This window comes from Homo sapiens, chromosome X, assembly GCF_000001405.40.
Source record: "Homo sapiens chromosome X, GRCh38.p14 Primary Assembly".
Classification (NCBI taxonomy): domain Eukaryota; kingdom Metazoa; phylum Chordata; class Mammalia; order Primates; family Hominidae; genus Homo; species Homo sapiens.
In genome coordinates, this window is record NC_000023.11 from 116,422,326 (window position 1) to 116,436,533 (window position 14,208).

Genomic DNA, 14,208 nt, shown 5'->3' on the forward strand with positions numbered 1-14,208 from the left:
GAATACTTAAAAAAGGTACAGTTTTATGTTAGCCCTGAGTAGTGGGCTAGCTTGTCTGTCAGGACAGGGGAGGCCAAGTGTGTGAGCTGTCCAGCATTGGAGAAAAATCTAGAGCAACAACATCTTTAAGAGCCTAATTAATAAGTCAGTTGTGTCTAGCTAATTTAAACAATAAGCTTGTGTGCCTGCAATTTAACTAATCTGTGTATAGTTTATACCCTGAAATTGCTACACTCTGTTGCAATTTTGCACTCCAACTAGTTGAGAGAGCACTAGTGAGCAGTAGACATAGAGCAGAGAGGGAGACAAGGGAGAAAGGAAGGGGAAAGGCTACGGGCCATAGGTCATGGAGTTCAGCAAAGAACCGCCCTTCCCTCTGCTACCCAGCCATTACCTTAGATGACATCAGCAGGAAACTGCCTGCTTGAGGTTAGTAGCCCTATTTTCTAATACTCCCAATTATCGAGAAGTATGGAGGAAGTATATAGTAATGCATAAAGTTTCTAGATTCTTTGTTTCATTTGTTGCCTTAAAGTTTGGACCAACTTTAAGGGTAGGACACAGAAGAATAAAAGTTTAGACTGGGATTCCAGGAGATTCACAGGCTTACAGGTGCGTACACCACCCTCTTTCCTCCCTGGGACATTAGAAAACGCAGAGCCATATGATTTGAACATTTTCTTTCTTTATTTTTTGTCTTTGCCTGTTTTTTTTTTTTTCTGTTGTTATTTGCCTGGACAGTCCAAGGGAGGCAAGAACATTAATATGAGGGAGGAAGTTGTCAGATTACTACAGGAATAGGCTTAAATACCTAGACATGGTCATTAAATACCTACTGATATACTCCTCAATTACACTGACTTCTTTATCACTTCCATTTCTCTGTCCTCTTTCATTTTTTGCCTGTATAGAAAGGATGAGAAGATAAGATCAAACATAGACTAAAAAAATAAACTCATAGTTTTTCTCTGACTAGAAAACACATACATAATGATTGGAAATATAAGTTATTAAATATCTCACCACCTGAAGAAAACTGTTTCATATTTTGGCATAATTTCTTCTGAACTTTTTCCAAAGTATTTGTATATGGGTTTGCATTTTTTTCCATATCATTATATGTTCTTCTACAACAGACATTTTATCGGGTAAAAAATACAAAGTTTACTTAAACATTCACAAAATGTGTAGACATTCAGAGTGTTACTAGTTTTTATTGATTCCAAATATCACTACGATGAATAGCCTTCCAGCTAAATTTTTGTCAACATCTTTGTTTCTTTAGGGATAGATTCCTAGTATTATGATGTACCAGGTCAAATGGTATAAACATTCTTCGGGTTTTTAATTTATGTTGTCAAATTGCCCTCCAGAAGTGTATGCTGATTTAAAGTCTCATCAACTATGCAAATAAATATAAATCAAGACTTTCAAACCACAAGAAATAACACAAACACTGTAATAAAATTCAATTCTGACAGCCAAATAAATAGAAATGAGTCTCACTTTTGTCATTCTTCAGCCTTATTTCATGTGCTGGGACTGCAGTTTAACCCTCACCTATTTTGAGATATCCTCAGATAGAATAAGGGTGTAGAATGAACATTGAATAAAAAATAAAATTCAAAATAATGCTAATGGTACTTTGGAAAATTCTCAAGTGATTCTGTTTGTGATAACTCTGAAGGCTCCCTCCTACCTACAGCTTGATATTTAGATTCAGGTGTTTCTAGCCTCAGGCTCAGCAAGCGACAAATATGTATTGAGCCTGCTATGCTCCAGACCTTTTTCAAGGCAATGGTGATACTGTGTTGAACAAGACGAAGTCCTTCCTACCTGAAGTTGCAGCCTGGTAATCCTACTGCAATAAGCCAACCATTTCTTTTACTCCCACTCCCACCACAAAATCTTGTGCTCTAATCAGACCTGTATTGTGCTGCTTTATACTCATTCTTACTTAATTACAGTTATCTTGTCCCATAAGCCCTAATCCTTTCAGTCAAGGTTTATCTGAAGTCTCCTGTGAAGGTCCCCCCAGCTATTACAATAGTCTGAACAGTTGATTCTGTACTTACACTTTAGAACTCGATTATTCATTGTCTTGAATAATAGCAAAGACTTGGAACCAATCCAAATGTCCATCAATGATAGGCTGCATAAAGAAAATGTAGCACATATACACCATGGAATACTATGCAGCCATAAAAAGGATGAGTTCATGTCCTTTGCAGGGACATGGATGAAGCTGGAAACCATCATTCTCATCAAACTAACAGAGGAACAGAAAACCAAACACCGCATGTTCTCACTCATAAGTGGGAGTTGAACAATGAGAACACATGGACACAGGGAGGGGAACATCACATACCGGGTCCTATAGGGGGTTGGGGGGTTAGGGGAGGGATAGCATTAGGAGAAATACCTAATGTAGTTGATGGGTTGATGGGTGCAGCAAATCATCATGGCACGTGTATACCTATGTAACAAAACTGCATGTTCTGCACGTGCATTCCAGAACTTAAAGTATAAAAAAACAAGTTACATGCATGAAGTGTTATAGTTTCTCACTTTCCTCTTAAAGAGGGAGAGGACTTATTAAGGGTAAAGAGTAAAGGTAAAAGGGACTCCGAGATAACTGCTTGCCATAAATTGCAGGGCCTGGCAAAAAGGGGACGCTGGCTTTTCATTTTGCTTTGTTTTAACCTCTGCTTATCTGGTGGACCATCTTATTTGTCCTTTATGACTGAGCACCAGGAGAAAACAGCAGAAAAGAGATATTAGTGGAACAGTCGGAACTCCCAATTTGTCATAGAAAGTACATATGTGTTTCCCTTTGATCAAATGGATGACACCAGAGGTAGCCAGGCTTGAGTCTTCCTTCCAATATGCTACCCAAGTGGGCTATCAATTGATGAAGCTGTTCCCAACAGCCAAAGGCTTTGAGGTGTACTACCAGAGGCAGGAGCCGAGGGAAGCTTCGAAGAGGTTGAAATTCATTGTCAGATTAACAGTGCAGTGGGGGAGTCACTCACTTACATAGCTCCAAAAGACCTCACATGCACCCATTATTTGGATACCTGACATGCAGAGGGCATTGATGACCACCCATTCATAGCCAGAGAAGCAGTGACAGCTGAGCTTAGATTATACCAGTAGTGCCTTCTAACTCCAACTCTGCAGAGTAGAAAGGAACTTTGAAGAGAGAGGAGGAAAGTGCAGGTGGTATTCAATCACCACTCCAAGTCTCTTGAGTTGAAGTTTGGCTGTTACTGAGGGAAGGGAAGAAGTAAACTGGCAATGAATTGAAATTTTAAAATGGGTTACAATTTTTAAAATGAGCTGGACTTTTTAATAACTAAAAGTGATAAAAAAAAAAAAGCTAGAGGATATGCCTGAGGTGTTTTTAGGGGTCAGGAAATGCAGATTGAACACATCATGGTTAAAGGTAGTAATCTGAAAAAAATCACATATTTGTACCCATCACAATTCAACAAACTGAATATCAATACAGATTTTTTTTTCCTAAAGGTACCCTAGTCAGAATAGGCAATAGGATTTAGTACCTATGTCAGAAAACGTTGCTATTTTTTGTCTGTATCTACAGCATTTTTTTCCATCAAGAAGTTATGTAACAACAATGTGAGTGTTTTCTTCTGAACTACTTAACAAAAAGGACTAGGACACACTATACCTATTTCACTTGTAATACCTGATTGTAAGCAGCAACTCAAGCTGGTAAAATGATTAAATGGAAAGATACTATGTAAGAGGTACTGTTTAAAATTTTTTCTGCATTTTCATTACTTCCTAGTAAGTTTTAATCACATAGCTCCCTTCATTTCTAGACAAAAAAGATCTAAATAAATGAGTCAGACTGTAACCCACACCGAGGCATTAGCTGGTGTTGTGTAATTACAAGACAGGTGTATCACCACTCCTAAGCCTGAAAACAACAGTATTTCAATAACACAGGTCATGGGCCAGACCACCTGCAACTGATTGCTGCACCCCACTGATGTTAACAACTATAATAATACTGATTATACAGCTGGACTCCAGTTTATTGTTTATGAGTCCTCCCTTCCATGGATATTGGTGGAGGTCCCAGTGCTAGTTTCATAAACTGATCTCTGATTGTCAGTTGAAAAGTCTATGGAACTGATCCAATTGGCTTATGCACAGAAACGACCCTCTTCTCTTCAGCAGTCTCCTGAGAGGGATCCTCAGTTTGGAGCAGTGAGCTATCTATCCGGTGTTAAGGTGTTATCTCCTCAGGCTGGTAATTAATACTAATTAGCCCTTTGTTTGTGTTTTAAGGAGAAACTGGATAAGAGGGGAAAGGTGGAAGGAAGGAAGTCTTCCAAGAAAAAGAAAACAGTTTGGAAGAAGGACTGGGTGAAGCGTGACATGGGGTAGAGGAAGGAGAAATAGAAGTAAGCAAGAGGGAGGAATACTGAGAGAAGACAATTTAATAGAATAATTGAGAAAGGCTGAGGTGGAAAGGAGACCCTCTGTAGCAAAATTACTGGGAAAAACTCAGGTTTTGTTAATACAACTGGGTTTGAATACCAGCCCCTATATATTCCAGCCCTATGACCTTGGACAAGTTATTTCACCTATCTCTGCCTATTTGTTAATATGTAAAAATGGGGATAGTAGTACACTTGCGTGGTACAGTTGTTGTGAAGATTAGAAATAACACGCATAAAGTACATGGCATATGGTAGCTACTCAAAGAAAAGGGTAGCTGATATTGTGGTAATAGTGGTTATTGTTATTGTTAGAAGCAGTCACATTATTATTGTTAGTGACAATATTATTTGACAGTAATAAAGCACAAGTTAATTAGTTGCCATGACATTCAGCAAAAAAAGAAAGTGCATCAATGAAGGATGCCTCAGATAGCCCTCCATATGTCAGTTTTAGAAAGAAGCTAGAACATTGCTATGTGTGGTGAAGGAAAAAAGAATTGCAGTGTATTATTCACATATTAGACATCACTTTTACATTAAAGAACTTCAGGCAAGCAAGAAAAAGTAAATGCTATACTTTATGACTAGTTTTGTTTGCAGCACCTCCTTTTCCAGTTCTTTAGAATATGTAGTGACAAGATTTAAACTTTATTAATTAGAAAAACATATTGAAAATGCCTGCACACGAACACAGATAATATTAATATGACCATTCTTTTTTTTTTTTTTTTGAGACAGAGTCTCGCTCTGTCGCCCAGCCTGGAGTGCAGTGGTGCGATCTCGGCTCACTGCAAGCTCCGCCTCCCGGGTTCACGCCTTTCTCCTGCCTCAGCCTCCTGAGTAGCTGGGACTACAGGCACCCGCCACCACGCCCGGCTAATTTTTTGTATTTTTAGTAGAGACGGGGTTTCACTGTGTTAGCCAGGATGGTCTCGATCTCCTGACCTTGTGATCCACCCGCCTCGGACTCCCAAAGTGCTGGGATTACAGGTGTGAACCACCACGCCCAGCCTAATATAACTATTCATTAATTGTTTTTTATCTCTTCAAAGGACTCTAGTAGAGGTAGGTTAGGGTTCATAATAAATTATACTTTATGTTTGTTTTTATTTAAGAAGTTAACAAGAACAATTATTCCATGGATCTTATGAAGCAAATAATTTCCTGAGGTAAGAAAGTAAGAGTAGGCATTTGGCTGTCTGAAAGGCCTTGGATTTAAGAGCTAAGATACATAGTTTTGATAAAGTTTATTTTTGTAAATGAAAACCGGCAGCAAGCATACCTTACAGCAATGCATTTAAAAGGAGGAATACCAGTATACCAAAGGTGAAGTCTAAGTCCAGGCATACCTCATTTTATTGAACGTCACTTTTATTGTGCTTTGCTGATATTGCACTTTTTACAAATTAAGCGTTTATGGCAACCCTGGTTTGAGCAAGCCTATTGATGCCATTTTTCCCAACAGCATGTGTTCACTTTGTGTCTGTGTGTCACACATGGCTAATTCTCACAATATTTCAAACTTTTTCATTATTCTTATGTCTTATGGTAGTCTATGACTGGTCATGTTTGATGTTAACATTTTAATTATTTTGAGGTGCCATGAACTATGTTCATATAAGACGTCAAACTGTTGTGTGTATTCTGACTGCTCCATTGGCTAGCTGTTTCCCATCTCTCTCCTTCTCCTTGGGCCTCTCTATTTCCTGAAACACAACAGTATTGAAATTAGGCCAGTTAATAACCCTGAAATGGCCTACAAATATTCAAGTGAAAGGAAGAGTCTCACATCTCTCACTTTAAATTTAAAAAGCCAGTAATGATTGAGCTCACTGAGGAACCATTACTGAAAACTGAGAGAGGCTGAATGCTAGGCATCTTGTGCCAAACAGCCAAGTTGTGAATGCAAAAGAAAAGTTATTGAAGGAAATTAGAAGTGCTATTCCAATGAACACGTGAATGATAAGAAAGTGAAACAGCCTTATTACTGACATGGAGAAAGTTTTAGTGGTCTGGATAGTAGACCAAACAAGTCACAACATTCCCTTTAGCCAAAGCCTAATTTGGAGCAAGGCACTAACTCTTCAATTCTATGAAGGCTGAGAGAAGTGAGGAAGCTGCAGCAGCAAAGTGTGAAGCTAGCAGACCTTGTTCATGAAGTTTAAGGGACGAAGCCATCTCCATAACAGGAAAGTACAAGGTGAAGCAGCAAGTACTGATGTAGAAGCTACAGCAAGTTATGACAAAGATTTAGCTAAGACTATTGATGAAGGTGGCTACATTAAACAACAAATTTTCAGTGGAGGACAAACCAGACTTCTATTCAAAGAAGATGCTATCTAAGACTCATAGCTGCAGAAGTCAACACCTGACTTCAAAACTTCAAATAACAGGCTGACTTTCTTGGTAGGGGCTAATGTAGCTGGTGACTCTAAGTTGAAGCCAATGCTCATTCACCATTCTGAAAATCCTAAGGTCCTGAAGAATTATGCTAAATCTATTCTGCCTGTGTTCTATAAATGGAACAACAAAGCCCGGATGATAGCACGTCTGTTTACAGCATAGTTTATTGACTATTTTAAGCCGACTGTTGAGACCTACTGCTCAGAAAAAAAGATTCCTTTTGAAACATTACTGCTCATTAACAAAGTATCTGGTCACCCAATAACTCTGTTGTACAAGGAGATTAATGTTCTCTTCATGCTGCTAACACAGCATCCATTCTGCAGCTCATAGATCAAGGAGTGATTTTGACTTTCAAGTCTTATTATTTAAGAAATATATTTTGTAAAACTATAACTACCATAGATAGTGATTCCTCTGATGAATCTAGACAAATTACAGTGAAAAGCTTCAGGGAAGGATTTACCATTCTAGATGACATTAAGAACATTCATGATTCATGGGAGAAGTTCAAAATGCCAACATTAACAGGAGTTTGGAAGAAGTTGATTCCAACCCTCATGGATGACTTTGAGGGGTTCAAGATGTCAGTGGTGGAAGTAACTGCAAATATGGTGGAAATAGCAAGAGAACTAGAATTAGAAGTACAGCCTGAAGAGGTAACTGAATTGCTGCAATCTCATGATAAAACTTGAATGAATAAGGAGTTATTTCTTATGCATGAGCAAGGAGTTGTTTTTATTTATTTATTTATTTTGAGATGGAGTTTTGCTCTTGTTGCCCAGGCTGGAGTGCAGTGGTATGATCTTGGCTCCCTGCAACCTCCACCTCCCAGGTTCAAGCGATTCTCCTGCCTCAGCCTCCCAAGTAGTTGAGATTACAGGCATCTGCCACCATGCCTGGCTAATTTTTTGTATTTTTAGTAGAGACAGGGTTTCGCCATGTTGGCCAGGCTGGTCTTGAACTCCTGATCTCAAGTGATCCACCTGCATCGGCCTCCCAAAGTGCTGGGATTACAGGCGTGAGCCACCACGCACGGCCAGAATATCTCTTAAGATGTCATCTACTCCTGGTGAAGATGCTGTGAATATTGTGGAAATGACAACAAATAATTTAGAATATTACATAAATTTAGTTGGTAAAACAGTGACAGTGTTTGAGAAGACTGACTCCTATTTTGAAAGTTTTGCTGTCAAACAGCATCACATGCTACAGAAAAATCTTTTGTGAAAGGAAGAGTCTGTTTATGTGGCAAGCCTCATTGTTGTCTTAAGAAATTGCCATAACCACCACAACCTTCAGCAACAACCACCTCTATCAGCCAGCAGCCAACAATATCAAGGCAAGGCCATCCAGTAGCAAAAAGATTATGACTTGCTGAAAACTCAGATGATTGTTACCATTTTTAGCAATAAAGTATTTTTAAATTAAGACATATACATTGTTTTCCAAACAATTCTATTGCACACTTAATGGACTACCATGTGGTGTAAACAGAACTTTTATATGCACTAGGAAACCAAAAAATGTGTGTGACTTGCTTTATTGCAATATTCACTTCATCGTGGTGGTCTGGAACTGAGACTGCAGTATCTCTAAAGTATCTCCGTACTTCCCTCCTTTAATGCATCATTAGAATAGTATCAGGTAACTAGGTCATGTTAAAATTTTTTATTCATTGTTTGTTTAAAAAAATAGTCAAACAGCCACACTAGCTCCATTGCCCAGTTGATTTAGGTGTGCCTTATATTAAGGATTTGGCTTGGTTAAATATATTCAGGAAAAAGGGTGCATTGCATGGGTTGGTTAGTGAAGCACCCAAGTATTCCAGAGTCTCCGAACCTATTTGTTTGTTATACCTTAGAGAACAATATATGTCTATATTTGTTTCTGAGCCATAGCTACTGAAATCAGCCTTCACCTTGAGCACCTAGCACTGATTGTCCTCACTGTGGATCCAAACTTCTTGCAGGTGACACTTGTAAATTGACAATGTGAGACTCAGCTGGAAAGGAGGCATAAATGTTGTTTAAGTTGCGACCTCTTCAAAGAGGAAATATAAATAAATGTGTTCAGTCTAACTGAAGTGGATATTAAACAGAGTTTCATCTATGTGTGGTGCTCTATTAGATATGGAGGGTCAAGTGATGCCTAATTATTCCATGTTACCATAAATGCTGGTGGATTACAGCAGGGAGTCAACAAACAGAATTTTCTAACATGTTACCTTATTTTCTTATAGTAAAATAGTTAGAGAACATAGGCTTTAGAGTTGGATCGTTTGGGCTCGAATATCAGATCTTTCACTTACTAGTTGTGTTATTTTGAGCAAGTCACTTAACTTCTCTAAGCCTTAGTTTCTTCATTAGTAAAATGAGAATTATAATTTTTCCTACCTCAAAGGGGTTCTGTGAAAATTAAATTTGAGAATAAATGTAGATCACTTAACATAGTACCTGGCTCAGTAAATAATGGTTTTCTTTTCTCATCAGGCACCCTCTTTCTTCTACCTTCTGTCTTTTCCTGCCACAGCCCATTCCATGCCATGAGGCCTTTAAAGGTCTATGTTGTAGTGCTGATGCTGATGGAAACATACGTTGGAAAACTGTTGGGTAACGTATATTAAAGCTGAATTGATTATACCCTGTGATCAGAAATTCTACTCTAGTTCTATACCTAACAGAAATACATACAGAAGAAATGTTAAAAGAAATTTCATAGCAGGAATATTCAAAATAGGTCTAATCTGGAAACAGCTCAAATGTTCATCAGTGAAATGGTTAAGTGAATTTGGTATGTATTGTATAGTAGCATATTCATACATTGTAATATGATATAGAATGATAATAGGTGAACTACAGATCCATGTAACAGTATGAAAGACCCTCTTAAACATAAGGTTGAGTCAAAGATGTCAGACACAAAAGTGTATATATTACAATATTCCATTTGTTAAAAGTTCAAACACCGGCAAAACTAACTTACGGTGATAAAACTCAAGATAGTGACCAATCTTGGGGAGGGTAATAAGAGGCCTTCTGAGGTTCTGCTAATGTTGTTTCTTGAACTTACTGCTAGTTGCATGGGAGTGTTAAGTTTGTGAAAACTCATCAAGCTGTATATCTATAATTTGTGCATTTTTGGTATACATGTTACACTTCAATATAAAGTTTATACTAAAAGCTCTATGTTATGTTACAGGCAATGTAACAAAAACATGAAATTTAACAAATTCAGCTTCCCTATTTGGAAAGAACCAATATGAAATTATGCATCAGGAGCTATTATTTTCTTTCAAGATTCTATAGCATGTTATCCTTTATATTCTGTAGAAAGCAAGATTTGTGTTCTCTGTCAATTCACTAGTTGATACTGCTAGAGCATCATCACTTCTTTGGCTGACAACAAAATTTTCTTTCTTAAATAAGTCTTGCTTCTTAGAATTATAGGAACCTTTTCTAGAAAAACTTACTAATGTTTTGACTATGGGTAGAGTCTGATTTTTAGTAAAGTGGTTAATGTCTGAAATCATAAACTTCAAATGCTTAATTCATGTTTACAAATTTACTAAAATAGGAATTTATATCATTTATTTTTACTGTAGACCAACTAGTCTTTCTTCTTCATTCTTTCACACTTTCAGATGGTGAAGTTTAAAGAGTTCTTTCAGGAGAGGGCTAAAAAACAATGTGGTTGCTCAATAAGGCATTGGGTTTCATGAAAGTGTTCAAAGGCCTTCTCTTTTATTTTTATTTTTTAATTACATATTTGATGTATATATTTTGGAGGTACATGTGATGGATAATTTGATATATTCATGTAATCAAGTCAGGGTAATTGGGATATCCATCACCTTAAATATGAGACTAAAGATAACTTCCATGGTTAATGACATAATCTTAGTGAGAAAGAAGAATATGGGATGTAACTATTGGATCCATTTTTATTTTAACTTGTTTCCTGGAAAAAATCACAATTATGAGCTGATTTTTAGTTGCTAGTGACTTATTACTAACTAAATCTTTCGATTGCTGTATTAGTCTGTTTTCACACTGCTATAAAGATACTACCTGAGACTGGGTAATTTATAACTAAAAGAAGTTTAATTGACTCACAGTTCCACATGGCTGGGGAGGCCTCAGGAAACTTATGGAGGAAGGGGAAGGAGAAACAAGCACCTTCTTCACAAGGTGGCAAGAGAGAGAGAGAGGGTGCAGGGCAAACTGCCACTTTTTAAACCATCAGATCTCATGAGAACTCCTTATCACCAGAACGGCATAGGGGAAACTGCCTCCATGATCCAATCACCTCCCATCAGGTCCCTCCCTTGACATGCAGGGATCACAATTCGAGATGAGATTTGGGTGGGAACACAGAGGCAAACCATCTCATTTGCTGACAATGCTTTGTGTGTGTGTGTGTGTGTGTGTGTGTGTGTGAAAAAACAGCAAATCAGGTTGATGGCTATTGTTGTGTGTGTCCTAGCTGGGATGGCCCATATTTAAAAGTCCCCCACTGAACAACGTAGTGCTTGTGGGTCGTTAATTATAATGTTGAAGTGTTTTTGCACAACTAAAACAGAGCTTGCCATGTGTCATGCCCAAGTTAACAATCACTTTACTATTGCCTTTCAGACTGTGGCTTAGGCCTAGATTGCAAGGCAGATGAGTGGTCACACTCTCTCTCTCTCTCCTTATTTTTTATTACTCCAATAATGAACAGTCTTCTCCTGTTTTCCCACACCATGCTCATTCATATCCCTGTGATCAAGTTTACTTAGTTCCCTCTCTCTTTCACCCATTCAACTTCTATACTTCTTTCAAGTTCCAAATCAATAATTCATAAACATAATTTGTTCATCAGTTAATAAATCAGGGCCCAAAGAAAAGAAAATATGCTCTTGGATCTCTTGAGCCTTTGAGAGTGAATTGTAGACCAGGTGTCCTTCCCTTTTTTGGCAACAAAGTCATTAAATTACTTGTCTGAGTCAAATTTTCTAATAAATATTTACTGAGTGCCTACTCTGCATCAGGTTTTGTGTTAGATGCAAGAAGAATTAACACAGTCTCCCTGCCTTCAAAGAACTGGTAGTCTAGTGGATGATAAACAAGTAATTTCACACAATGTAAAAAGAATATATGGTGCATAGGGACACAGAGGAGAGACATCTAAATCTAGTCCGCTGTAATAGAGGAGGAACTATTGTGAAAAGACCTGGAGGAGGACACCCAAGCAGAGTTTTAAAGGATGAGTAGTAGCCAAATGAAGAGGAGGGTGGGAATTTCCAGAAGAAGCAATAGCATGAGCAAAGGCACTGAGGTGAGAAACATGTCTGTGACATACACACTAAACGTTTGAGACAATGAATGGGAAGAGATGATACTAAAAAGGCAGGCAGGAGCCAGGTCATGAAAAGCAAAGCATGGTAATGGGAATAATCCTACCCCCACCCACCCCGAAACAGAAGTATATTATCTAAAATCGATCTCACATTTTATGTGTTAAATGCTCCAACTCTCAAAGGTGATAGAAACTTTACTGCATAACAGGCAGGGAAAATTGGCCCCCCTGTATAACAGATACCCTTGCCTTGTGATATGTTTGGGCTTTGTGCCCCCACCCAAATTTTATCTTAAATTGTAGTTCCCATGATCCCCACGTGTGATGGAAGGGACCCAGTGGTATGTCATTGAAACATGGGGTGGTTACCCCCATGCTGTTCTCGTGATAGTGAGTAAATTCTCACAAGATCTGATGGTTATATAAGGGACTTTTCTCCCTTTGCTTGGCACTTCTTTCTCCTGCTGCCATGTGAATAAGGACGTGTTTGCTTTCCCTTCCACCATGATTGTAAGTTTCCCAAGGCCTCCCCAGCCACGTGGAACTGTTAATCAATTAAACCTCTTTCCTTTATAAATTACCTAGTCTCGAGCAATTCTTCATAGCAGCATGAGAACGAACTAATACACCTTGTGATTCCCATAATCTCTCTATCCTTAGGATTCCTGTCTTCTTTCTATTTCCTTGGTTACCAATTGTTTGACGTGCCCCAAGGTTGGCTTCTTTCATTTATATGGGACTTTGATCGTTTAGTAAATGCTATTGGATTTGCTTTTTAGCTCATCCTTTTATAAGGAGGTTTATAAGCCCTTCTTGCTCCTCTCCCTTCTATGTTTAATCTTAGCCTTTAGGTCATACCAGTAGTGTACAGTACTAATAGGCACACACTCATGCATTAGCACTCTCCATCCCCCAATTCCCCATTGATACATGCACATGTGCACACACACACACATGCACATCAGCCTTTGTTATGTTCAAGACAAAGTTAAATAAAACTTATTGATACTTTCCTTACTACCATCCTACATCTTTCATGGACTTTTCTCTACCTTACCTGCCAAGATTCCCCAGGGCATATTTCTATTGCAAATGGAAAATTCTTGCAGTCAGTGGAGAACAAAGGAGCTGTACATAGGGTACAGAATTTGCCTATTTGCTCATTCCTCTGTGTGCATGAATTTGTGCTTTGCTTCATAGAACCACCATCACTATCTGTTACCTGGGCAGACTGAGTTTAAATCCTTTGAGTTTCCTGATGAAAAGGCATTCCATTGGTAAACAGCATTATAATAATTATTTCCTCCCTGGTCAAGCTGGGATGTTTCCTCATAGTTTACTTTCTAGGCCTCATCTTTCTTACAGAGTGTGCTCCTTTGTTAAGGTTAGAATTTCCCATAAACCTGCTCAATAATTTGTTTGTGTTTGGCTTCTTTGAAATACTACACAAAGCAATCCCTGTAAAAGGCAAAGCTGTCCTGAAGGCTGAGAAAGGAGCCTGAGACATAGGCTCCAAGTTGCTCTTTTCAGGCAGAGCCAGCTGGGTAATCTTATCTCAGATGGCTGCTTTTCAAGGTGCCCAATTCAGGGGCTTTTCCTCTGGGAGCAGCATTTGCCCCAGGGAATCAAGTGCTTTCTAGTCAGGGGCAAAACTTTGGGAAATCTGAGGACCCAGGGTGGTATGGTCTGTTCAGGAGAATTTTGGGGAACAGAATGGCCCCCTTCTCCCTCCAGCACTTGTACAGATCAGCACTTGGCCCCAGAACAGAGACCAGACTGAGAGGCGAGGTTAGGAGGAAACAGGGGACCCAGGAAAGGCGGCTAGATTGCAAACGTACCTACACAGCTCTGAGTCAAAGGCTGTCAGTCATCTCGGCTCAGACTGCTCTGCTCTCCAGCAGCCCAGCCCTTTCCCAGGGCTGGGGCAGGAGATTGCTACATGTAGGCTTATCTGGGGAAAAACCAGAGCCTCACTTTAGTCCCTTCCGGTAAT